Genomic DNA, 23,995 nt, shown 5'->3' on the forward strand with positions numbered 1-23,995 from the left:
CATCTCCTGGGTAGGAACTGGACATGTGACCATTGAATTTCCTGGGTTAACCAAGTACTGGCCATTTCAGAACAGGAATTTCCAGTGAAGACAGTAATGTTCACAATGAATTCTTTAAAAAATTTTTATTTTTAGAAATGGCGTCTTGTTCTGTCACCCAGGCCTTGGCTCAAGCGATCCTCCCACCTAAGCCTCTCAAAGTGCTGAGATTAGAGATTTAAACCACTGTGTCCAGCTTCAGCAATGAATTCTGCAGTAATTTCATAACATCAGTCTTCCAGGACTTTATTCTTGGGGCTGTAGAATTCCCAATATAATAGCCTACTCCAACCTCTGAAAACAACAAACTACAAAATGCTCCTTTCTTGACAAAAATGTACCCTTATTACAGAATCTTTACGGCTAATAACCTTCTGGACGGCAATGTAGCAGTCTACGTCCAGTCTAGGGATACACAAAGGTGGTAAATACCTATGAAGCCAGTGCTCATGACTAATGATCAGAGACTGAATTCTGTGTCCACTTCATACGTTGAAGTCCTAACTCCCAGTATCTCAGAATGTGACTACATTTAGAGCAGAGTCTTTACAGAGGTTAAGTTAAAATGAGGTGATTAGAGTGGGCGCCAATGTGATATGACTGGTGTTCTTATAAGAAGATAACCATCTACCAGCAAAGGGGAGATGCCAATCTTAGTCTGTTTGTGCTGCTATAACAAAATACCTGAGACTGGGTAATTTATACATAAATGTATTTGTTCACAGTTCCAGAGGCTGGAAAGTCCAAGATCAAGGCACTCACAATGTCAGTGTTGGTGAACGGCCATTACTCATTAGACGGCACCATCTAGGTATCCTCACATGGCAGAAGGGACAGAAAGGCAAAAGGGAACACTGTGTCCTCCCATGGTGAAAACACAGAAGAGCAAAGGGAAAGGCCTAAGCTAGTTCCTTCCAGCCCTTTGGGAGGCAATAATCCATTCATGGGGGTGATGTCATCATGACTTCATCACTTCCCTAAAGGCCCCATCCTCTTACTACCACAGCAGAGATTATGTTTCAACACATGAATTCTGGAGGACTAACATTCAGACCATTGCAAGGCCTCAGAAGAAACCATCCCATCACCTTGACTTTGGACTTCTAGCCTCCTTATGAGGGAATAAATTGCTCTTGTTGAAGCCACCCAGTGTGTGGTACTGGCAACTCTAGCAAACTAATGAAACTGATAATTTGGTTCGAACATGTCTCTGTCCTCTCAGTGTCTTAGATGGGTTTGGCTCTCAATTGATATTTTAAAGGAATATTTTGCACAAATTTGCTCATGCTTAGATTTAACTAACTGAACATCTACTGGGTGCTGGGTTCTGTATCAGCAAGTAGGGACACGCTACTGAACAAAAGCCAATCTCTTTCCTTCAGAATGGAGAGGAAAGAAATGCAGATGGGCAAAGACAGTGTCGTTTGCAGTAGGCATAGGCGACCACGCTGTGGGAGCACAAAGCACCACATGCCACTCAGTCCAGATGAAGTAAGGCTTCCTGCTGGGGCTGACACACAACCCGAGAACTTAAGCATTCATAGTGAGGTGAAGACAGCCCAGGCAGAGAGAGCACCACCTTGGGTCAGAGGAGAAGGAAGCATGGTTTTAAGTGAAAACTTGCTTAATGACAAAGATTCATTCTAAGAAATGTGTTAAGTGATTTCATCATTGTGTGAACATCATATTCACACAAGCCTAATATCCTATTACACACCTGGGGTCTATTGCTGCTAGGCTACAAACCTGTACAGCATGTTACTGTACTGAATACTATAGGCAACTGTAACACAATGGTAATTGGTTGTGTATCTAACCATATCTAAACACAGAAAAGGTACAGTAAAAACATGAAAAATGTGGCGTTACAATCTTGTGGAACCACCATCATATATGTGGCCTGTCGTTGACTGAAATGTCATTATGTAGCACCTGACTGTGGTTGTATCTGGCTTGAGCCAGAGTGTAGGGCAGAAGTGTGGAGAAACAAGCTTGCAGAAGAAAGAGCTGTATAGACCTGTGTACCATGGTAAGAAGCTTGGACTTTATCCAGAAGGTTTCAGGAGACACTGGAGGAAAAATGGTCACTTCTAGTGCTAACTTCTGATTTTGTAATGATAAAGATCAGTTATAGGGCTGGGCGCAGTGGCTCACGCCTATAATCCCAGCACTTTGGGAGGCTGAAGTGGGTGGATCATGAGGTCAGGAGATCGAGACCATCCTGGCTAACACGGTGAAACCTGTCTCTACTAAAAATACAAAAAAATTAGCTGGGTGTGGTGGTGGGCATCTGTAGTCCCAGCTACTCAGGAGGCTGAAGCAGAAGAATGGCATGAACCCGGGAGGCAGAGCTTGCTGTGAGCCGAGATCATGCCATTGCACTCCAGCCCGGGCGGCAGAGCAAGACTCTGTCTCAAAAAAAAAAAAAAAAATCAGTTAAATCAGTTATAGCTGGTTACAAAAGGTAAAATATTCGAAGTGATCTGTATTAGTTTTCTAGGGCTGCCATAACAAAATACCACAGACTGGGTGGCTCAAACAACATACATTAATTTTCTTACAGTTCTGGAGGCTGGAAGTCCAAGATCAAGGTATCTGCAGGGTTGGTTTCTCCTGTGCCTCTCTTCTTGGCTTACAGGCAGCCAGTTTCTCACTGTGTCCTTGAACAGTCTTCCCTCTGTCAGCACTCATTCCTGGCATCTTCCTGTGGTCCAAATTTCCTCTTCTTATATAGATAATAGTCATCTTCAGTTAGGGCCTACCCTAATGCCCTCATTTTAACTTAAAATGACCCTATCTCCAAATACTGTCACATTTTGAGAAACTGGGGAGTAGGACTTCAGCAAATGAATCTGAGAGGACACAACTCAGCCCATTACATGATCCAATATCATTCTTGCATGGCTGGTTAAGCAAACAGACAATGCCATCCTTAACGTACATATCAATACAGCTCAGACTTGGTCTTGAGGCAAGTAACTCAACAACTGCTATTGGTTCAGAGTTTAACAATATGTATACTCCTATTTTTATTAATGTATTTACTTATTTTGAGATGGGGGGCGGGTCTCACTATGTTGCCCAGGTTGGCCTCAAACTTCCTGGCTCAAGTGATCCTTCTGCCTCAGCTTCTTAAGTAGCTAAGTAGCTGAGACTATGGGTGCATACCACCTGCCCAGCATGTATATATTTTCAAAAGTGTTTGTCTCCCAAATTCAGAAGAAACTTCACATTCACTCCTTAACTATTAGCAAAGAAGTATAGTCAGAGATGACTCTAAGCAAAACCTCAGAGGAGGCAAAAGTTAGCCTGCCATGACTTTAGGAGGCTCTGAATAGTAAGTGTTTGTTCCCTGCAGCTTAGTAAATGTCACTTTACGATGATTTTCCATAATCCACTTGACTGCAGAGAGATGTACAGTGGGAAAATCGAGGCATAGAGACCAGGGCCATAATGTAACTCAGAGGAAGAACAAGGAATGATGGTTAGGATTCTTGCGCCAGCCCAGTGCCTCATGCGATAAATCACTTTGCCTAAAACAGGTTCAGAGTTTGTCAACTTTCTGTTCAAATTGTGGTGCATTGTAAACGTACTGTAAAACTGTAGAGTAAAAAGTATGTATTTCAATGGTTTTATCTTTCTTACCTAGCCATCCACATATTATTTATGCAGTTTCCATTATAATGCTACAGTTAAGTTTGCATAATATTTTCTGTAACTACCTACTTTTGCATGGTTATAGCTCTCTAAAACTCCCCTGGGACAGAGTTTTTTCACCTTGGTCTCAGTTCAGAAGCAATTTTTTTTTTTGTAATAACAATTGATGACTTTAGAGATATTTTTGAAGTCATGTGAATGTGAAAGAAAGGAAGATTTTTACTGCATTGAATATTTTGTTACCTTTTGTCTAAACACCACACATCAAAAAGAGCTGAACAGAAAGGTATCAAGCAAGGCAGTGTAATAGATTTCACTGAAGACTGACCACACTGCCAGATTTGACTACATGAGGTTTGCATTCACATGCTTATCAGTATTTAAAAATACCCTGAGTGTACACAACAGAAAATGTCAGGAACTTGAAAAGCAAAAATATGCATGTGGTGTTTTCCAGATTTCAGCAAAGCACAGTAACTAAAGAAACTTAATTATGTGATCAGGCAGCAGTTACTTAACCTTTCCAGACCTCTGTTTCCTCAATTATAAAATGAGAGGGTTGGACTACATGATCTCCAAGGTTTGTTCCAGCTCTAAGAGTCCCTATTTGGACTCTGGATACAAATCAATAACTTACTTTCAAAGTCACCCTGGAAGGCACTCTTAACTCTGAACTTGGCAGGTAGTTACCAAATAAGATCCTTATTTTACATCAGAGAACAAGAATTCATTACATTCTTCTGCCAAGGTTTCTTGACTTTGGTAAACATGAAAGAAAAATTACACTTGAATCCTAATCACAATTATCTTTTATAAAAATGCCAGAAAACCAAGTGTTTAAATTACATGACTCATTCAAAAGAATTTGTGACTTTTTGATGGCCCATTGGGTGTCAGGTGTTGAGCTGAGTGCAGAGGATGCAAAAGATGCACAAGTCTCCTGATTTCAAAGGAATTTGTAGGCTGTTGCATGTTTTAATTTTCCTCCTGTCTATTGGAAAATGCTCCCCTTCATGCATAACACTTGTCTGACACAGACAACAATGTTGTATCCCATTCTGGCAACCACAACTTGGCTAACTTATACAACTGTGCACTATTCTTCTTCACCGTGAATGATTTTGAGTAAACGGCCTTAAGTGACATCAAGGGTCTGAACGTGTCAGTTTGGGTAACTAGATACTGGACCAGGTTACATATAGAAGCCGTCTACCTTTTCTGGGTGTCCACATTGCATGTATTACCTAGAATAAGCAGATGGATGGTGGACCTATTGTAAGCTTAGAGTGAGGGGCTCTGGGACCTAGAATCACGTCTCTCATGGCCAAGCTGTATCCTCTCTGGAACTCAGTTAACTATGCTCTGCTGCCATTTTTGCCCTGGACAAAATCTCTGAAGTCCCCTATAGATCTAACAGCCCAGAATTGTATAATCTGTCTAGGTTTACTTGTGTATAGTTGGAAGATGAACAAACTGACATTTTAGATTTCCTTTCAACTTTATGTAAACCATATGTTTACATATTCTCTTCTAAAATATGTAACTAATTCCTGATTTTGAAAATAGTAAGTTTGTCTATCACTATTTCTGTATACTGTGTAGTAAAACCTGATTAATCCAATTCCTGCTAATTTTGCATTTAGCTGTAACTTGGCTAAGGGCCAATTGAATATTTATCCTTATGTACAATAAAAGCTTACTGTGTAAAAGAATAGGTATAATAAAGGTTATAAGGGGAATGTTTAACCTACTTAATATAGAAATGAGTCTCAAAAACTCAAGAACTCAAATTTAAATAAGCAATTGATACATGTATTATGAATTCTTCTCAGATATTTAAGTAGTTCCCCAAGGATGTTTATTTACTAACAGCTCACTAGTCTAGTTTGAATTACTGTTGTTACTTTTAAATATATCACAAGCAGTATATATTTACTACCATACTTCAATTCACATTCTTCTCAATTCAGGCAGCTGTTTGCCCAAATTAGTTTAAATTAGGGAAAGTCTATTGTATTCATAAACTTCATGTAAACAGCAGAAATGATGACTATAAAATTTGTCTTAGGTTTGTTGGAACTCTGAGCTTAACTTCTATCTGAGATTCGCAGAGAATGAACATGGAATGATTAATGGCCATTACTGATTTCTTGCAGCTGTAACTTAACAGAATATGTATACTCTAATACAGTACCCATGGTAATTATCTCATTACTATGAAGTGTCACAGAAATACATTATGCGAAGTACGCCCTGAATCACATTTAGCAATTTCTTTTTATGTTTTAAACCTGCAAGCTTAGTGTTGTCTAGTAGTTAGAGGTTTGCGTGGAGGTCTGGGGCTTAGCATAGGACTCCTGCACTCGAACTGGAGTTCCTTGGCAGAAGCAGAACCAGTTTCGTGACTCTGATCACTCTGTTAAACTTTTCTGTACCTCAATTCCTAATTTGAAAATAGGCATATTCACATCTGACCCCTACTATACCTCATGGAAAGGATTAGTCAGATTATGTCTATAAAACAGTTGGCCACCATGAGGAAAAGCATTAAGGAAATTACTCAGCCCTCTGCAGTGGTGACTTCTCTAACTGCATGAATATTTAACGAACAGGTATACATAATACTTGACACGTCTATGGAGCTTTTGATGCAAGTATCTCAACATCGCTGAAAGAAATACATACCAACAATTATCAAAGACCTGGGAAGCATCAACTCACCACTCAGAGAGGGCAGACATAGAACAGCTTAGTTTTTAACATCATACTGTTCAAGACCAGTGGTATAGCCAAATACAGTTATCCCACAAACCCAAAGATAAGGCCTTAAACCAGGTGCGGTGGCCCGCACCTGTAATCCCAGCACTTGAGGAGGCCGCGGTAGGTGGAGGTCAGGGGTTCAAGACCAGCCTGGCCAATATGGTGAAACCCCATTTCTACTAAAAATACAAAAATTAGCTGGGCATGGTGGTATGTGCCTATAATCCCAGCTACTCAGGAGGCTGAGGCAGGAGAATCGCTTGAACCTGGGAAGTGGAGGTTGTGGTGAGCCGAGATCACCCCACTGCATTCCAGCCTGGGCCACAGAGTGCGATGCCGTCTCAAAAAAAAAAAAAAAAAAAAAAGATAAGGCCGTAGAAATGAGGCATCCAGCCATACACATGAGTCTGCCTGAACAATATATAAGCACAGAAGTTCCCTAAGAAAGTAAATGCATAGTTGGAAATGAGTCCTGTTAATTAAATGAGAGGAGTCAGCAAAGAGATAAAAAAAAACAGTATTGGTGAGAGATCAACATAAAACATCATCAAGAAAGTAGGACAAAACAAAGAAGAATAATTTGTGGTCAAATTTGTAGTGTCAGTTGCAGCTCTGAAATGAGAACTAAGAGACCACTAGGTTAGTAACCAAGTAATTCACTGAGAATCTGAGCGAGGGTTCCTCTATGACACTCAGCAGCCTCAACATCACCTGGGAACTTGTTAGAAATCCAAATTATCGGCCAGTCCCCAGGCTTTCTGAATCAGAAACTCTGAGGGTGGGGCCCAGCACACTGTGGTTTAATAAACCCTCCAGATGACTGTGATGAGTAGAATCCTTGCACAAGAACTGTGTTGTTTGTCCAACATTGCTGAGAGGATGCACTGTGCGATACTTCAGTCACTAGCTGCATGTGGCTACTGAATACTTGATATGTGGCTAGTGCTACTGAGGTACTGGCTTTTAAATTAAATTCAAATTTATTTAAATACTGAGGTATTTATTTTTAAATAAATTCAAAGTAGCTACATGCAACTAGTGGCTATTATATTGGACAGCACAGTTGTAGAATAGTACTGTAAATGAATGCCAGTTTTTGGTCAGGGAACTGAGGCAAATGGAGATATTAGGAACAAGAATGGAGATATTAGGTGTGACTCTTCTATATAAGAAATCTTGTTGCAAGAAGGAAAAAAGGCATCATAGGTTGTATGTCATGAGGTGAAGTTAAAGGCTTTTTCAGGAGAAGTAAGTTCTGAGTGGGTGTGAAGGAGAAGGGAAGTCAGGAAGCAGGACCTATTGACACTAAGGAAGGAAGGACAAGTGAAAATGTGTGTTGGAAAGTCCGAGAAGTATAATACAGGCATACAGATATATATAATTGTGGTTAAAATATTAGTAAAAGAAAATTTACCATCTTAGCCATTTCTAAGTGTACAGTTCGGTGGCATTAAGTACATTCACACTGTTGTACAACCATCTCTCCACCATCCACCTCCAGAAATCTTCATCTTGCAATACTGAAACTCTGTGTTCATGAAACAACTCCTCATCCTCTCCATTCCCCGGACTCTGGCAACCACCACTCTACTTTCTGTCTCTATGAATTTAACTACTCTACGTACCTCACATAAGTGGAATCATACGATATTTATCTCTTAATGACTGGAATATTTCATTTAGCATCATGTCCTCAAGTTTTGCCTGCATTGCAGCATGTCAGAATTTCCTTTTTTTTTTTTGCGATGGAGTCTTGCTCTGTTGCCCAGGCTGCAGTGCAGTGGCGTAATCTCAGCTCATTGCAACCTCCGCCTCCCAGGTTCAAGCAATTCTCCTGCCTCAGCCTCCTGAGTGGCTGGGACTACAGGCGCACACCACCACACCCAGCTAATTTTTTGTATTTTAGTAGAGACAGGATTTCACTGTGTTGCCCAGGCTGGTTGTGAACTCCTGAGCTCAGGCAATCTGCCCACTTCGGTCTCCCAAAGTGCTGGAATTACAGGCGTGAGCCACTGCGCCCAGCCCAGAATTTCCTTTTTAAGGCGGAAAAATATTTCATGGTATATTGCTATGGTCTAAATGGTTGTCTCCTTGCTGAAATTCACATGTTGAAATCCTAACCCCCAAGGTGAGGGTATTAATATTAGGTAGGAGGTGCAGCCTTTGGAAGGTGATTAAGTCATGGCAGTGGATCCTTCATGAAAGGTAGTGCCCTTATAAGAGGCCCCAGAGATCCCCCTCACTCTTTCCATCATGTGAAGACATCGGAAGAAGACAGTTGTCTATGATCCAGGAAGCAGGCCCTCTCCAGACAAGAATGTGCTGGCACCTTGATCTTGGATTTCCCAGCCCCCAGAACTGTAAGAAATAAGTTTCTGTTATTTATAAGCCATGTAGTATTTGGTATTCTGTTACAGCAGCCTGGAAAGACTAAAACATATGTACATACCACACTTGGTTTATCCATTCATTCATTGCCTCCACATTTTGGCTATTGTGAATAATGCTAGTAATGCATGTGGGTATACAAATATCTCTTGTAGACCCTGTTTCAGTTCTGGTGGCTAAATATCCAGAAGCAGAATATTGGATCTTATGGTAATTCTGTTTTTAATTTTTTTTGAGAAACTGACATACTGTTTTCCATAGTGGCTGCATCATTTTACATTCCCATAGAGGTGCTTGTTTTTGAGACAATGAGGAAGGGCATATCAATGCCATCAGAAGAGTGATTAAAAAACAAATGTGGGGGAGAGATTTGTTGAGATGGAATGGGGAGAGGTGGAGACAAAGAAGTTTGGCTCTAATAGTCTTTCTTTTCTCAATGACCTTGACACAAGGTTATCATCTCCAAGGAAGAACACTGCTAAGGAGGAAAAAATAAAGGTTGAGGAGAGAAGTAAATGAAGGTTTCGTACAGCTAGTCCGTTACAGGAAAACAGGTAACATTCTGAGCTCTGAAGCAGAAGTCTAGGCACTGTTGTGGGTTAAATTGCGTCCTCCCCAGCAAAATGATATATTGAAGTCCTAAACTTCAGTACCTCAGAATGTGACTTCATTTGGAAATAGGATCTTTGCAGATGAAATTCATTAAGATGAGGTCATACTGGAGTAGAACAGGCAAAACCCAACACAGCTGGTATCATCTTATAAGACGACAGCCATGTGAAAACACGAAGACATACAGGGAGAGTGCCGTTTGACGGCGGAGGCAGAGACTGGAGTTACGCAGCTGCAAGCTAAGGAATGCCAAAGACTGCTGACAAACTTCTGGAAACCAAGAAGAGTTAAGGAAGGATTCTCTGCAGAGTCTCAGAGGAAGCACGGCCCTGCTCACCCTGCTGACACCTTGATTTTTACCTTCGAGCATCCAGGACTGTGAGACAATCCATTTCTAGTGTATTAAGCCACCTAGTCTGTGGTATTTGTTATGGCAGCCCTAGGAACTAATATAGCCACAGGGCATGAATCTGCAGTAGGACAAGGTCATCCTATGCCAAGGCCAAAATGAGTATTTCCAAATTACTGTGCATCCCACCTGTGAGCAATATGCTTCCTGACACACAGTGATAATGTAGGTAATAAGTCAATGTAATACATATTTTGAATCACAGTCCTTACTAAAGGGTTTTCTTTCTGTCTTTTCCAGGCATAAATGAGGCATGCATATGAACACACTAAATTGTATGCTTCTAAGAACCAAGAGGGGAGAAAAAAAATCTCAGTATCCTGGGGCAGAAATATGTGGAGTAGATGTGTACAAGTAATGCCTTAGTGCTGTCATCATCTGGAAGTTCTGGATTTTATTTCACCTAATTTGTCCCCTAATTTTTTTTTATGGATTATAATCCTAAGTATGGCTCTTACTTCACCTGTAAAAGTCAAAGACATATCTAATTTTTAAAATTTCTAAATCTGTCTGCTTTTTCCTTTTTCTGACTTTGGTCTTTGTCCTAAGTGCCAATGATTTTTGGATAAAAAATCCAATTATTTTCCTACTTTTACACTTGAGTTTCATGGGGGAAAAGTCAGCATTAATGGTCTGGTGATGAGTGCGAACAGATGAAGCCATCTAAGAAAAAGCTGTCGGTTATGTACTCCTGGGTGACTCTCTCAGAAGCAGACGTTCAATGGCTGTGAGAGCAAAAGAACCAAGGGGCTGTGGGGGTGTCAGCGCTGCACTGATTTCAGTGCAAGACAAGGGTTTAGGTCCCGCATAACATCTTAACAGAAGACTACGGCGGGCGCCCCTTGGAAGGGTAGCTCAGCTATTGCTGATATGGAAGCAGTGTGGATTATTTGGTTAGGCAGAATAACCTTGAACATCTGCCAAGTCAAAACACAAGTCATAAAAACAAACACAAAGCTTTCCCTGGCTGCCCACTTGCTCTCTGCCTTTAAAATATTTCTTGCTTTTGTTAAAATTCACCTTCATCCTAGTAAAAGAGGAGGAAAAGAGTTGTGAACTGCAATTGTAAAGAAAAAACATCCAGTGATAACTACATTAAAATTTTTTTTTTACAAGAAAGTATCCAGTAACAAATTGTTTCCCTCCTCCCTTCCTTCCACAGCTCCTCGTATATATATTTTTAAAAGCATTTAGACTTTGGCTTTTTATGAAAGGCATACAGTAAAAGTATCACAGTTCCAAAATTCCAAAGCAATTTCACAATCATAATGAAATGAGGGAGGAAATGGTTTTGTGAAGGTCTTAAAAACAATCACCCCACGTTGCTATGTGAAGCATCTTTATACATTATAAAGGGCTCGGCAAAAATTAGTTCATTCATTCAACAGGCACTCATCGAGCATCATTTATACACTAGGACCTATGTAAGAAGCTAGGGATGAATAAGACACAGTCTGCCTGGTAGAGCTCACAACAGAGGGAGACAGTTATTATTATTATTGATTATAATGTGGCTAGGCTTCTCCTGCCCTATTCCTACCTCCAGCCCCCAGGAACCTTGATTTTAATTCACAAAGCGCCATATTGTGGGGAGGAAAAAAAAAGAAAATGACCACAGTAAATCCTGTAAAGGTGGCAGGTCTCTCCAGAAATAGAGCTAGACTGTGAGCTTAGACCTCCTTTAAACTAATGGCAAGGAAAGAAAAGAACACAGCAACATGCCTAACCCAGATGTACCAAACCCGACCACAACAAACAGCTAGAACTAAATGAGAGAAATTCAACGTTAATTGGGAGAGAAAATGATGGAGAGGACAAAAATCAATTAAAAAGGAAGATGAAACCAACTGGAATAAAGTTAAACACATCTTTCCCTCCTTGTCTTTTTCCCCAGAATTGCCCCAGAGTGTCACCTGAAGAAAGACGTTACCTTCAGCTCCACTGGAGACTTTGAGGTTTCACAGACAAAGGGAGCCAAGTCTGGAGTGGATAACCCAATTTCCACATGTTTTGGTTTTAATTCAGATGAGCCAACTTGAATATCAAAAGTCAGGTTTTTTTTTCTCTGATGTGATTTTATGCCTGCTTAAAACCAGTGGCTAAGGAGAAAGGGCATATACAATGAATCTAAAATCATTCAATTACCTTAAGTCAACCGGGAGGCTTATATTTACTGAAAATAGGCATTCAACTCCCATATTACAAAGACATGCAAATGACTCCCATGTTGCAAAATATTCTGGATAGTTTATTACTGCTCTCTGTTGTTGGAGGAGCAAGGAAAAAGGCTTGAGAGGCTGATCAGGAAAATACTACATTTGTCAGTTGGCAACAGCAGCAGGTTAACACAGCCTCTTGAATTAACAGCTCACAGGAAGAGAAAAAAACCAACTCCTCTTTGGAAGCAGATTCATGCTGCAAAATTATCCAAGTTAATTTCCTTCAGTTAATTATGTCAGTTTCCTTATTAGCAAAGGGAGATGACCAAGTCTAGTCTCTATCTAACGACTCAGAATGATGAGGTTAGCTGGCCCCATCTCTATGTTTAAACCTAACGTTCAGACAGAGCCTCATAGAACCTCATGGGCAGAACTTGCCCTAACCAGTATTTAGTTCTGCTCTTAGTACTGTTTAACCAAGGATTCTCTCAGAAATGTCCGTGTAGGCTACGATTGAGATCTACTAATGGCTAAGTTACCACACTGCTTCATCTCAGAAACCTGTGTGTATGAATCCAAGGTACGAAAGCATCCAGTATCCCTTGTAAGTCTGGTGGCTAAGCAGCATTGGCGGGGGGGCGGGGATCCTCTGAACCCACTATAACATGGCACCTTATATGGAGTGGGGGTTCACAGTGAACATGCCCTGACCTCCTCGTTATCTTAAGCAAAATTTTGGGGTGATGAGGGGTAGGGATGGGGACAGGAATTCCTCCGGAATCACTCTGGAATCCGGGTCCAAGCCAGAGTAACCCTGCTAACACAGACGAACCAAATTTACTGCTACTCAGACTGGCCCCAACCATTTATGCACTCCTCAACGTTATCAGCAAACAGCAAGCTTTTCTTGTGTGTGCATCCATTAAATACCAGGCAAATTCAAGATCTTTTCTCTTAATTCCCACATCAACCACGCAAGGTAGGTTAATAAACATCATTTACACAAATGAGGAAACTGGGGCTCAGGGAGATTAAACAAATTGCCCAAGGTCACACAGCTAGTGTGAGATTTGAATTCCAAAGCCTGTGCTTCTCTGTTACAAGCCTCACCACTTGTGAATAAAATGTGTTTCTCATTTCCAAACTATTCCACAGCCTGGCTCCTGAGATAGGAAAAAAAGGAAGGCATCCTCAGAACTGCTTTCTCCCCTCCATGATTGGCTGGCATATAAGAAGTTACTCTCTGAAACTGGATCTCCTATGAGGGCTGTTGTTCTTTCAGCCGTTCTCAGAACATTTCTGCTACTGAGTTACTGAGTTATAACTATACATTGGCCACTAACCCAATGCCAGCCTGATCCTGAAGAGAATGGTGTTGGTGACAGCAGGCCACCTGTGTGGGGTCATGGTAATGGCTAATCCTACTGGTGACCACTTTCCAGGGATATCACTACTGAAGCGCCGATATAAGGACACATTTCCCAGGAAACCAATCCTGCTCGTAAGCATGTATGCTGTGCTCCAGGTGGCCATGGCCTCAGCACTTAAAAGTCGAGAGGGCCACCAACCATGGTTCTATTGCAAGAGTTGTAAAAATTTGCACTCGGCAGCCACTGCCTTCACCCAGGTCTTTCTATTTTTCTTTATTAATAGCTTTACGTTTCCTCTTATTCATAAGATAAGGCTAATATTGCCTAGTTCAGAAAAGGGTTGTAGGGGTTAAATAAGGTACATAAGCAAATGTATCCACCAATGGTACTTGAAGACTTTTTGTAACTTTCCTCTCCCATTAACAATTTTATAGTGACTTGCAGGGATTTTCAAGTGGGCGTTCTTTAACCTCCCGTACAATACCATAATAAAATATAGAGATAATGCAGATATACATTTCTTAGATGACAGAACAAGGGTTCTGTGACATTGATAATGCTGAATTTTTAAACTGGAGGTTTACATAAAAATGGATTTCCAGAGTTCTGAGAATGCTAGAAAACTGTATGCAGAATTTTGTGGGTATGTGTCTTTTTCAGGAAAGAAGGTCCAAAGCTTTTCTCAGATTCTCAGTGCGGCCCATGACTCTCCAAAAGTTCAAGAACCACTCTCCTGTAGGTTAGCAGTAGCAAGATTTGCTGGGCCTAGCTGTAAAGTCTTGCATTTAAGGCAGGAAAACCTGTCTCATAAGCAGTTTTGTTTTCCTTGAAGTTTGAAGCCGTGTGCTCTTGAAATTCTAGGTTGCATTAAATGTATGTATGTTCTCTGAGTCCAGGGAGACATAGTTATGCTCTGAACTGATGCCATCCAATAAGGTTGGCTTCCATTCTGAAATGATCACTCTCATCAGGTGGCAGGGCAGCAAGAGGGTAGTACCAGGGGAAAGAAGGCCCCAGAAACCATGTCAAGTGAAAAGGAGGCGAGGAAGCTGAGGATATTTTGCTAGAGAAAGAGGAGAGTTGAGGAGGGGGAATGCCACAGCTCCTCTTGAAAAGGTAATGGTTTGCTATGTAGGAAGAGAATTAGATTTGATCTATGTAGCTCCAGAACATGGAACTAAGATCAATGGATGCAAGTAATGGGGAGAAAGAATTCAGCCTCTATATAAGGAGAAACTTTTAAAAAACGATTAGAGAGATTCAAAATAGAAAGGGCTGCCTTGTGAGGCTAATGAGCTTCCTGTCCCTTGAAGTTTTCATACCAAGGCTGCATGTTCATCTGTCAGGGATTTGCAAAGGGGATTCTTTATTGGGTGGAAAGTAGGAGAAAATGACCTCTATGATTCCTTCTAATTCCATGATCCGTCTATTAAGGTTTTATATCTCTTATTAAAATTTATAGTCAAAGACCCATAGACATCTTCCTTTACTTTACAGAATAGATACTTGAGGCGAGTCCCTTTATAAAGGGAATAATCAGACTTTCTCTTTAAGTTTTGATTTTTATGTATTTTGTTTTCTCAGAATGGGTCACACCTATGTTCGGACGCTGTGTCTGTGTGGCCAGCACACACACCTTCCATCTGTCACCTTTTCTGAGTCTCCCCTGCCTGCTCCCTGCCTGGACTCTTGCGCTATTGTTCCACTAGCCGTTTTTCCCATCTTACCCTTTCCAGTCTACTCTCCACCAGCATCCAGAGTCACTGTTGAAAAACATTCTTCAGAGTATGTCTTTCTGCCTCAAATCCTTATATAGACTCCCATTTCTCTGAAAGTCAAACTTGCCTAAGAGGCGCTGGATGGTCTGGTGTCTCCCAGCTCCTTCATACCCTTCTCCCCTTCACCACCACACTCCAGGTGGCCGCGCTGGCCTCTCCGAGGGCTCTTCCCCTCCTCTGCATCTGCACCGGTGCTTCTCTCCACGTGGAACACGCTTATCCCAGCTCCTTGCTGGGCTTATTGTCATCCTTCAGATTTCAGCTCACATCTCTCCCCAGAAAGGCTGTTCTGACCACCCTGGCTCAGTCAGCTGCACCTCCCACTTGTACTTTATCGTGTCCTTCTGTTTTGTCTTTTTCACACCACTGATCACAATTTATAATCATTTTGTTTCTTCCTTTTTCCTTGGTATTGTCTTCTCCCATTTGAGTGTAAGCTCCTTGCAGACAAGCACCTAGTCTGTGTTGCTCACTAATGTGTCTGTCTCCAGTGTCTAGCAGAGATAAGCGCACGACTGGTGGTCAGTACGTATCTTTGGAATGAAAGAATAAGTGATTACATGAACATTTCTGTCCGGCATAGTAGGTGGGCTCTGGAGCTGAGTGTGACCTCACTCCTTAGAATGTAAACAGGAATCGTTTCTTAATGCTCCCTCTGTTTACCTAGCAGAGTACCGCGCATACCTCAGGCCTGCAAGAGAAATTTGGATTGACCCCCAAGAAGCACACAAATGTAATTTAAAGCCAAATATTAGAGAAAAAACATCTTTTTCACTGGAGAAAGACATTATCCATGTCTCTTAGTTTCCTATATGCACAGTGGGGTTAAATCCTAAAGAGAAATACTACAGGTCCCCAAATCTAGGATAGTGTGTCTTTTTTCCTCTGAGGGCTCTCAGAAAAAATATTCTGGCAGTGAGGAACAAGAGATGCTGGAATGAGTTACTGAGGAGGTGGTAGAATCTCCTTTTCTGGAGATCTTTAAAAATAGAACAGCCATCTGGGATGATTTAGATATGGTCTTCATTGAAGAAGGGGGAGGAAGGGGGATGAAGGATCTCTCTAAGTCCCATCTCATCCTTGATTTTCTGATATTTCACTTTAAAGTTTTATTCATGGCAAATGCCTTAAAGGAGCTAGGATTCACTTTTTCTTTTTATCTCAAAGTTAAATCCCATTTTATTTTGAACTGTAATTCTGCTGAATCACTATCCTTCTCTCTTCAAATGGGCAATTTGGATGTCATAACTTTTTTATGTAGAAAGTTTGGATGGAACTTAACTTTCCTTCTTTCTTTCTTAGAAAGGAAAGCAAAGAGATGTAAGATGGACAAGTTCAGAGGTTGGGAATGACAGGCAGAAGTGAGAATCTCTGCGTGGATTCTGCTCCTGCCACTGAGAAGGACTGAGGGAGGCGAACAGCACATGGAAAAACAGGCCAAGACTTCATGGAATGTGGAACATCCCACAACAGGGACCTGGTGCAGCTGAACACAGGAGTTCAGCCCTAGAGGTCTAGTTTACTATTTATAACTATTGAGTCTTCATTTTTGTTTGTTCATTTGTTTTCATGGGATTAAGCTTGGTAAAGTCATGTAAACGACAAGAGGCAGACTTTTCTTCTATTTGGCTAGGAAATTACAGCAGTTCAGCTGTTTCCTCTCTTTGTTCTTATGACTCTTGCTTGATTTATTAAAGTTGCAGAGTCAAAAGAATAATAGATTTTAATACACATCAGGCTGAATCTTACTATTTTTGCTATAGAGGCCATGCTGTAAAAAAGCCTTGTTAAATTTGTTTCTCAGCACTATTTGTATGCCATAACTGTTTTTCTAACCTAAATAAACTTGGTTGCGATTATCAAATACATTTTATTTTTAAATGTTCATTACAAGCACTGTTGTTCATAACAAACTAATGACTAATGACTCTAGTTATTTTTTTTCCAAAGGGAACACAGATTTCAATGACATTCACTTTTTTTGCCTTTCTGTAAGTTAATGAATAATCCATATTTTAATGGAATATTGTGTTAAGTCAGAACAAAGTGTGACCAGAAAGGTCTTCACAAAACATGCTTGCAAACTGTGGCCCTGTCACTTTATATGATATTAACCAAGGACACGTGCTTCTTCATTTGCTTACTGAGCCCAGGACTGGCTGTGTATCCACACCAGCAACACTTCTGTGGATGTGTGCAGGTGTGTCTGTGCACTGGTGCTAGAAGTGGAAGCCAAATGCCAAAATCCACAGAAAGAACATTCTAAGGTAGAAATAAGAACTCCCCAAAACAAAAAGGCAGAAAAAGAATATTCTCAAAGAACTTTACTATGAATTACATTAAGGGGCCTTTATAATACAACATGCACACACTGTTGTGTTTTGGTACATCCTGTTACATAACTGTTCACTAAAGTGGCCATCAACCACCTTTCATTAATGGAGGGCACACAGTTGTCCAGGGCAGACGGAGACATCTGATCCTTAATAGAGCAGAATTAAGTGTCTGCAGGGAGGCTGTAATTTCTACAGAGCATGGCTCCAACTTTTCCTCCCAGGAGGCCCCAGTCCCGGCACTGGAGTCCGCAGGATGACTGTCTGGGGTGAGTGACCTGCAGGAGCCCAGCTGGGGCCAGGGCTGCACACAGGGGGATTTAATCTCTGGGATAAAGACTGGTTTGGGCTCAGCTAGGTCAGATCTGGAGAATAGGCCCTTGCACACCACCTTCTCTCTGCTTTAGAATCTTCCCTTTGCTCCACTCACACCAACATGGGCAGGTGGGATCAGCTGAAAACGCAGTCTCACCAAATCCCACTGGCTGAATCCTGCTTTCTTCTGCTCTCTTTCCTCCTCATTTTTCCCCCTCTCCTGTCCACCTTACTTGCTCTGGTACACTCCAGGAGCCTCCAGGAGCCCTGGACAAACTCAGTGGGCCAGTGGCACATTCTCTGGGAAATCGAGGTCTGAATCTGGAGCTAGCCTATCTACTGCCCCTGACACGAACTCCCAACTCACATCCAGACTCCAAGTGGCTTGTGCTTAACTTCCACGATTTTCCTTTCCAGCTTCTGGTCAGTTTCCTTCCCTCTCTATGGCTGGCTGGCACACGTGAAATCTGGTCACTTTGTTATTTACAAACTATAGTTTTCAGTCTCATACCCTCTCCTGAGCTGCTCACTATCGCTCCTGTGGGGTTTTCTCACAGCCTTCTTTCACAAATTCAACACCACCATTCCCTCAGTGCAAAACAAGCATAGAGAGCTTGCTGGGGCTTGCAGAAAGAGGGAGGGGGGCTGCTGCTTCCCAAAGCCCTTCCTCTGGCACTGCCAACGTTAACGCCGATCTGTGGGGAGACTGCAATTCTAACATAATGAGATATTAATGAGCTCTGCACATGTCCCTAGCCACAACACTTCTCTCTCCCCCTCACCACAAACCCCCTTCAGCAAATCTAAAGAGAATCAGCTCCTCCTCTGACACTACAATTCCTCCACTTTCCCTGGAGCCTGCCCTCTCCCACTGCAGCACCTGGGTTGCCCGCTCACCTTAAGCTGCCAGCACTACAGAGCACCAAATGGGCTGGCACTGCCTTGTTTCCTGGCCTAACGGATGCTTGTTTAAACACTGGAGCTGTTTGCATTGCTGCGGCTCACTGCATGTTAAACACAGTCCTCTGAAACCCTATGCCAATCCAATAAAGGTATCAGCAGTTCAGTGTGGGGAGGCAATTACTATATGGTCCCAAGTGTGCCTTCTAAGCTCTAGGAAGGAAAATTTGATCGAACAACTAAAAGGAAAATCTGATTCGGCTCAGCATCACGTGGAGGACACAAGGCTTAACTGCAGCCAGGTCTGTGGAGGGCAGAGGGAAATCAATCCAGGAGCTAGGGAGAGCAAGTGCACATTGTTAAGAGGGCTTTAAGCCAGCCTGTTAGTAATACTGTCTCCTGCGTTTGGAAAGACACCCGCCTGTCCTCCCCCTTCTGCTCCCTTCAGCTTGCTTGCTTTTTAATTCCAAGGGGTATACTTATTTATTTGCTAATGACAAACTACCATCCTTCTTAACACCCTCCACCTTCTCACTCACCTTTAATTCCTTAAGCACTCATATTTAAAAAATGGCTTTTCTTGTGCAAGATCATTACCATATCAAAGGCGATGGAGAGAGACAGCAAAAATGATAGAGGGATAACATACAGGCAGAGAGAAGAAGGCAGGCCTGCTTCAGAGAGAACGGTGGGTCCCTAACCTCAAGCTAATGATACCAGTCGATAATGCAATGGATTGGTTTTCTGCCTTAGCTAAGTCTGAAAAATCAGGGGAATTAGACATACGATTTACATTTATTTCTCACCCAAGAAGCAGAAGTTAGAAAAGTGAATCATTCCCTCTGTTTTTAAGTTCTGGATATGAAAAGATATGGAGCCTAGGGTTTCTTTTACTTCTCCTTCTTTTTCATTTCAAAATCAGCTCCAAAATGGCCCATCTTTCCCAAGGAAGAGTGAGAAAGCAGCAATGTATGTGTCTGGCAACACAGAGAAATGCTACCCACAATGCTCACGTGGTGCCATCCATTCACCAGGAATTTTGCCAAATCCTTGTCTATTTCCTGAGGTTCCTGGCACAGGAGACACAGCCAAGATGGAGCAGAGGGCTGCTGTCAGCATTGGCCAGCAGTAGTGCCTATCTAATGGGTGTAAGGATAGAGCTGTTCCTTCAAAGGGTTTGAGGACAGAGTGCTTGCAGGGGTGCCGGGTAGATCTGAAATCTCACGGGATCCCCTGCACCCCAGTGCTCAGAAGGGGAGGGAGCTCTGCTCATGATAGGGTGCCAGAGGGATACGTAACACACTGAAAAGTATTCACTATAAAAGCACATTGACAGGGTCTCTAGACTAGCACATTTTGAGAGTCCCTGGAACAGTAGAGGGTCTGGCCTTGTACCCTAGACTTGACTTTGTATTTCTTACTGCACCAGCTTTAGAAAAACTCCAGCTCCCCACACCCCGGGATCCAGACGGTGGAAGCTCCACCAAGCAAACAGCAAGGCTTTACCAGCCCCACCCTGCAGTAGGGCACCACACTCTGCCCCCTTCCCTCTGTTACTGACTGGGAACAGTCATGAGAGCTTGTAGAGGACTGTCATCTTCAATGCCCATAACTGTTGACATCAGGTGAGGCATTATGATTTTACATATATTATACATACACAATATGTTTGGTTCTTGTGTTCTCCTTAGTTTCCTGACTTAACATTCATGGAACAGCCTCATTATCTCAGGCCTGGAAATATGGATAAGTGCATTATAAACCCCTTCTGAAAATTGATAAATGCCTTGCTCGTCTTGTATATTGGGAAGCAAAGTGTTCTACTTAAGTTTTGTATGTACATATTTTAAGGGGTAGTCTTTGTGTGTGTGTGTGTGTGTGTGTACACCTTTTAATAAAAATGTAAAAACAATTTTTAAAGACTTTAAACCTCTGTGATCAAAAGCTTTCTAAAAATATTTGGATGTTTCCCTGCTTTATTAGAAGGTAGATAATTAACTTTTTTTGATAACTCATAGGGTCATAAGTTACTGACCTTATTGTTGGTTACAGATCTGCTGTTTGTCTAGGGGAAAAAAGCTAGTTACTTGATTACTGGCTACCCTTATTATGAAGGAAGAGAACGTTGCAAAAGATGATAGACCAATACATTTATGAGACTCCCTATGACCCTGTTTTGATAGTACCTTGCTATATCTCCAGACTGTAAAGTCTGTAGGAATGTTAGATCTGTTCCTCAGTAAGACATGAACTCACTCCCATCTCCACTCAGCAGAAACATTTTAATTTCTTTTCTCTTCCTAGTGTTTGACATATCACCACAGAATAAAAAAAGTGATACCAACGCCAAACTTCTTCAACCTATTACTCTCTTTTCCTCTCCCCAGACATAGAAACTCACAAAATCCCTGTGCTTCTATAATGTCATTCTAATCCAGAGATAGTGGCTGAATTGTAATAAAATCACAGAAGGAAATTCTATTCCAGTGATGGAGAAATGTGGTAAAAGATACTATTTTGTTAACAGCGATTCTGAGATGATCAGAGTAGAGGCAATCACAAATGGACAGGGTATTCTTCTTTTAATTGCTTTTTTGTGTGTACATTAAGAAGGTATTTTACCCTCAAATATATAAAGAACTATCTCTGAAATCTTTACCTTTCATATTATTTACATAAAACTTTTCCTCCCTTTTTCTAATTTGTAACACACGAAATGTTTTCTCCATGTTATTCTGTTATCTTGAATTATGTTATCCTGGATCAAGAAATAGCATTCTATCCTTCTCACCAACATGAAACAGAAGTCATATCCTATTGTACAATTGTTAAATGATTACTAAAATCATTGGAGTCAGGTATACTAAAGTGTACTTTCATCATCTGGCAGATTATATTGAATAACAAGCCAGAGGTTCCATTACTTCACTCCCAACTACTACTTCTCTCAAAGAGGGGTGGGTTTGCACTTTGATATCCTACTTGCACACAGATGTAAAAATCTTTGTTCCCCTTAGGAAACTAGCATCTTATTATTCATCTACTACCTTCTCTGGGAAGAGCTTCCTTGATCTCATTTCAGTATTCATTTAGCTCATTACTTCCTGAGGATCAAAAATTACTAGAATGCTTCATGAGAAATAAAACCTGAGATTCCCAAATCTGCATTACTGATGATGGAAAAACCCAAATTAACAACGGAAGGAACTCCGGTTCGGTGACCTTTCGCTAAACTTTTTTTTTTCAGTGTTTAGTAACACAGAGGCCTAATCAGCAAAACATGATTTCAGCTTCCTTTAGAAAAATGAGACCTTTAGAGCAAAAAGTGAGTTGAGCACAAACTAAATTTTGGACCCCTAAGCAAAACATTTAGAGAGGTTCCTTTTTCATTAACCATCCCGAGAAATGACCTCAATCTGCAATGTGCAAGGGGTGGGAGAGAGGATTAGTGAGTCCCTGTACTCTTTTTGTTTGTTTGTTTGTTTGTTTTGAGATGGAGTCTCACTCTGTCGTGCAGGCTTGAGTGCAGTGGTGCAATCTCATCTCACTGCAACCTTTGCCTCCTGGATTCAACCGTTTCTCCTGCCTCAGCCTCCTGAGTAGCTGAGATTACAGGCGCCCGCTACCACACCCAGCTAATTTTTGTATTTTTAGTAGAGATGGGGTTTCGTCATGTTGGCCAGGCTAGTCTCGAACTCCTGACCTCAGGCAATCCACCTGCCTTGGCCTCCCAAAGTGCTGGGATTACAGGCATGAGCCACTGGATCCGGCCCCAGTCCCTGTACTCTTGATAAGATAAAGTGGCCAAAAAAAACAAGGTGTTGTCCAAAAACTGAGAGTATAAAAATAAGGATGAGAGAATGATAGGAACTGGGGCTAGTGTGCCACCTTCACCCTCACCATTGATGACATCTAATTTCAGGTAGTCACAATTGCCTTTCTTTGGAAAGGGTGCCTGTCTGGTTAAGATCAAGTTGACAAGTGCTTTATTATAGTCTCTCTACTCTTCTGTACGTTTGAACATTTCTAAAATAAAAAGTTTTTTATAAAAAGTATGTTGACTGGTTCACTAGAAAAGAAGAATGCATAGAAGGCAAAGGAAGTGAAGGGTGTCAGTCCATTCACCTTGGGACTGAAAATCGTGAGCAATCTGCCAAGTCACAATGCAAGAAGAAAGAGGAGGACGGAGAAATGCCAGATGCAAGGAGGGCAGCCCACGGTCCTGCTCAAAGAACTTTTTAGGGTGATGGGAAGGTCCAGAAAAAGGAGGACATGCTGCTGGCTGCATCTTGCCCTCAACAGAGGATTCAGACAGAGCTGTATCAGCTTCAAAAACCAAACACCCATATACCGAGAAGGCATATGCTCTGTTTATTTGACCTGAAGGAAAAAGGATTTTGCTCACGCTGTCAGACCCATATATCTACAAACAAGTGGAAACAATAGATGTAAGGCATGGAAAGAAGTCATGTATAGAAAGAATAAAAAGAATATTTGACTGCTTGACTTTCTTTAAAGGTAGTTTAGATCCTTTTTGGTTAAAGAAATGCCTACTATAGGGCCAGGCGCAGTGGCTCATGCCTGTAATCCTAACACTTTGGGAGGCCGAGGCGGGCGGATCACCTGAGGTCAGGAGATCAAGACCATTCTGGCTAACAGGGTGAAACCCTCTCTCTACTAAAAATACAAAAAATTAGCTGGGCATGGTGGCGGGAGCCTGTAGTCCCAGCTACTCGGGAGGCTGTGGCAGGAGAATTGCTTCAACCTGGGAGGCGGAGCTTGCAGTGAGCCGAGATCGCACCACTGCACTCCAGCCTGGGAGATAAAGCGAGACTCCGTCTCAAAACAAAACAAACAAACAAACAAAAAAGAAATGCCTACTATATTAATGACAATTTATGTAATTAATTAAAGCCTCTAATTTTTTTAAACTTTAAACTTTTTTGACTTACAGAAAAGTTGCAGAGTACAAAGCTTGTATTCTTCACACCACTTCCCTCAAGGTTAACCATATGCTTACATAACCATAGCATAATTATCCTCATACAATACTATTAATTAAACTACAGGCCTCATTAGAACTTCACCATCTTTTCCACCACTGTCATTTTCTGTTTCAGAATCCTATTCCGGATGATCCCATATTGCATTTAGTTGTTACTTCTCCATAGAGAAGTATTGCCTTCCAGGCCATAACAATTCCTCAGTCTTTCCTTGCCTTTCTTGGCCTTGACACTTTTGAGGAGAACTGATGAAAATGATTTTGTAGAATGTC

At 41.5% G+C, this 23,995-nt stretch overlaps 1 protein-coding gene across 3 annotated transcripts in view, besides 1 other annotated feature; it reads right to left on the reverse strand.

Annotated features, from left to right (window-relative positions):
• The window catches only part of MAML3 (mastermind like transcriptional coactivator 3), a 437,432-nt gene that overhangs the window by 186,285 nt on the left and 227,152 nt on the right, over nucleotides 1-23,995 (reverse strand). The gene's annotated exons all lie outside the window — the stretch shown is intronic.
• Nucleotides 6,078-6,372: a silencer, noted in NCBI's record as "tiled region #6454; HepG2 Repressive non-DNase unmatched - State 24:Quies". NCBI's record gives its function as "represses a minimal TATA promoter and a strong SV40 promoter by Sharpr-MPRA in HepG2 cells {active_cell/tissue: HepG2}" and the evidence as "EXISTENCE:reporter gene assay evidence [ECO:0000049][PMID:27701403]".

This window comes from Homo sapiens, chromosome 4, assembly GCF_000001405.40.
Source record: "Homo sapiens chromosome 4, GRCh38.p14 Primary Assembly".
NCBI classification, from domain to species: Eukaryota; Metazoa; Chordata; class Mammalia; order Primates; family Hominidae; genus Homo; species Homo sapiens.